The sequence below is a fragment of the Homo sapiens genome, chromosome 18, assembly GCF_000001405.40.
Source record: "Homo sapiens chromosome 18, GRCh38.p14 Primary Assembly".
NCBI classification, from domain to species: Eukaryota; Metazoa; Chordata; class Mammalia; order Primates; family Hominidae; genus Homo; species Homo sapiens.
This window is the reverse complement of record NC_000018.10, coordinates 44,956,142-44,959,547: the sequence shown is the minus strand read 5'-3', so window position 1 is coordinate 44,959,547 and position 3,406 is coordinate 44,956,142. Positions and strand designations below refer to the sequence as shown.

At 40.2% G+C, this 3,406-nt stretch overlaps 1 protein-coding gene across 18 annotated transcripts in view; it reads right to left on the bottom strand.

Moving 5' to 3' along the window:
• Positions 1-3,406, bottom strand: part of SETBP1 (SET binding protein 1) — a 388,438-nt gene that overhangs the window by 108,963 nt on the left and 276,069 nt on the right. The gene's annotated exons all lie outside the window — the stretch shown is intronic.

Here is a 3,406-nt window from a genome sequence, read left to right as displayed (position 1 = left end):
CTTTGAAGGCAAAAACATTGAGTTACTCATCTTTGATTTCTTTCTGGGATTGCAACAAGCCTTATACATACTAGGCATTAAATAAATCATTAAAAAATGTTGTCTTGTCCTTATCATTTTCCCTTGAATTCAGACAACTTGGATTAAGTGCTATACTGGCTCAAGCCTAGGCCACAATTTTAAAAGTATTCATCACTTGTTCTTTTTATAGAGTAAGGAGATGGTTTTCTGGAGTTTCCTTCCAAAGGTGCCTTGCTTATCTCTGCCCAGTGACAGCCTTCCAAAGGCATGCTTCCTGATTTCTCCAGCCAAGAAAGGATCCATATTATAGCAAAGCCAAGTCTGTCAAAATTGTAACTTCTCTGCACCCACACCTGAATCTGCATAATTTCCCAATCCCACAGAGGTAAAAATAAAAACTTTCACCAGGACACGAGAACATTTGCCAACTGTGGGAAGATAAATGGCTCGGGGACTTCAAACTCCAAAGGCAGAATTGCTCCATTTCTGATTTCAATGTAGCAAAGGATATGCTGTGAGTCTCAGCTATTTTTTTTTGTTACGTTGCTACAAAGTTATGGGTTATATCATTTAATTTGATTAATTCTTGGTTTCCAAAAGGAAACCTTAGGAGGAAACTTGGGAGGCTCAATAAAATAAGTATGTGCAATTGTTAAGACAGGAAAGGAAAAAAAAATGACTTCCATCAGAGCCCACAAAGATCATTTCCAGTCCCAGACATGGGTCCCCAGAGATAGCCTGGAAACCAAATGATTGTCAAAGAGATGCTTACCTTTTACAACAGCTCACAGCAAAGGAAAACATATAGCTTAACATCTCTCCCATGACTCACCTTTCTGTTTTTTTCTTGTATTCACTCTCTCTCTCCCTTTCCCTGCCCTTCTCCTTGATGTGAAGCTTCCCAGTCTGAGCTCTTCACCCAATTAAATATGTATCATTAGATGAGTCACTTGACCTTCTTAAGCCTCAGTGTGCTCATCAGCAAAATGAGATGTTTGTACTACATTATTAAGATTTATTTAATGCTGAGTCTAAATACAAATCCAAGTGTGCCCTGTCTGTTCCCATAAAAATGTTCATATTTGTGTTCTAACCTATTTGTGTCTCAGATAGTGACTATGTTTTCAGCCAGTGGGACTCAAGCACTAGGAGTTCTACCTTTCGCAAAGGAGAAATCCAATGGCTAAGTGAAATGGCTGGAGCTAAAGATGAATGGGATGAGTCTCATAGATTAATATACAACCAGTGGTACCTGTTTTCAAACTTCATTGAACAACTAACTATTTGGTCAACATGGTCAATAACTTGGATATTTACTTTGTAACTACTGCCTGTACATGTGTGCAGGGGAGTGGTGTAGATATTGAAATTCCATTGTATAAATTTGAGTCTTTTAGAATCTTCAACTATTAGGTCTGGTCAGAACCTTTATGGTCATAGTCCCATTTTGGAAAACTGAAAGTCAAAAAACAGAAGAGGTCTTTCAGCTGGTTAGTGTGAGAGATAAGATTTGGACAGGTCTTCCTAACCCTACTTGAACTCCACAACAGCCATTAGCTAATTAATCTTTCATTTCCTCCCACAAGAGGACTCAGAATTGGACTTGGAATAAGGTTAAAAAGATTATATTTCATCAGCTTCCCAGGTTTTACTCTCTTTATTCCTGGTCTTAATTTTCTCCTCCCATTAGTCCTCTTCTTCCTTTTATTCCATTTTAAGGAAATGATCCTGAAACATTTCCTTTGTATAGTTTTCATGACATTTCATCCACGTGGCTAATTCCCTCATCTGGGTGACTGCTTGGAGGAGGTTTTTGTATTATTTTTGGCTTGGGCATTCATATCCTGCCAGTGAGTGACAGCAGAGACTGCCTCCTCAAATTTCCACAGTGCTGATAAGAGGAGTTGGCAAAGGGCAAGAAAGAAGCTACAAGGAGAGGTGGAGGGGGCCAGGTGCCAGGGAATCCAGCTACCTACATGGCAGAATTTGGATATCTGAAATGTGCTCTCAGAATCAGTTCTCAGAATCCACTCATCATGAGGACAGTACTCAACATTCGGGGACTTGGGATGGCTACCTTCTTAACAATGGCACTAAACTAAGAGGTAACACATGTAGATTCACTCTTCTCATTTTTTTTTTTTAATTATCTGATAGGAGCTTGAACAGCAGTTGTCATGAGGTCTCAGTATCTGGCATAAGTTTAGGTCAAAGTATGCAAAGATTGTTTCCAAGTGGTCTGAATAGAAAATGTCACTCATCACTCTTCCACCACCTTGTGAAAACTTGGCTTTGAGGGCACATGGCATCATTCTGACTATGCATTGTCACCCCTGGAGTATGCATTTGCTCTTCTGGCCCTCTGCTAAATGTTAGTGTGCAAGAGAAGGCAATGCCTGCCGACAGACAGGCCCAAATAGGAGCTGATAAGGCTTATACCAATTCTGAGATTGCACCTTCTCACTATTTATCCATTTTCTGGTCCCAGGCAAGCATTTTTATAAACGGACATTTAGCAGATGGTATGCATTTAGAAAACAGGCCAAAAGAGCTACTGCATTCTGAAACCAAAAAAAGGAGGCGTAAAATACAGAAAAATGGTCAGAAGTCTGTACTGCATCCTAGCCCTAGGTATGTTAGAAGTGGGCTAACAAGACAATGCAACCATCTGCTGGGCAGGGAGAGAAAGAATGAAAGATTTTCCAAGCAAGAAAAAGGAAATGGAGTGTGCAACTGCTGCTATTGCTAAATAGGGTCTCTAATTCCTCTCTCCATAATGGTAATGACTTACGTTTAGATGGTATCTTTCATCAGCTCTGATCTCAGGGAGCACTCAAAGCCTTCTCTTGACTCTGCTTCTAATTCTCATCCTCAACAGGCTAAAAAGGATGACATCTATATTTATACTGTATCTATTTTAGAGAAGAATAGCTCATGTGAAATAGGACATTTGGATGCTAAGGAAATGAATCAAGTGTGATGAAGGAAAAGGTGGAGGGAGAGAAGTTGTAGAAAGTGCAGGTGCTTATTTCCAATCATGACCCTCAGAACCATCCAGCTGAATAGACACCTCCACTCAGATAAAGTCACTGAAAGCTCTTAATGCATCTAGTAAGCTCAGCTTCATCTCATCTGCCTCCTGTCTTTTCATGGAACTTGGCACTCTTCAGAGTCTATCACATTAAGGTGAATGCTCTTCAGGGAGTCTTGACAAACTCTGACACTGGATTCTATGTGATGCTAAAGATATTTTTCTCTCATGCTTTGGGGGCACAGCCATGAAGGAGACATTCGAGATATAAGCAATGAGAGGCTAAGGCTTGGAAGGGAGGGGAATAAGGGGGAATCTGGTCTGTCTTAGTAAGAAACTTAACAAGATATGCAG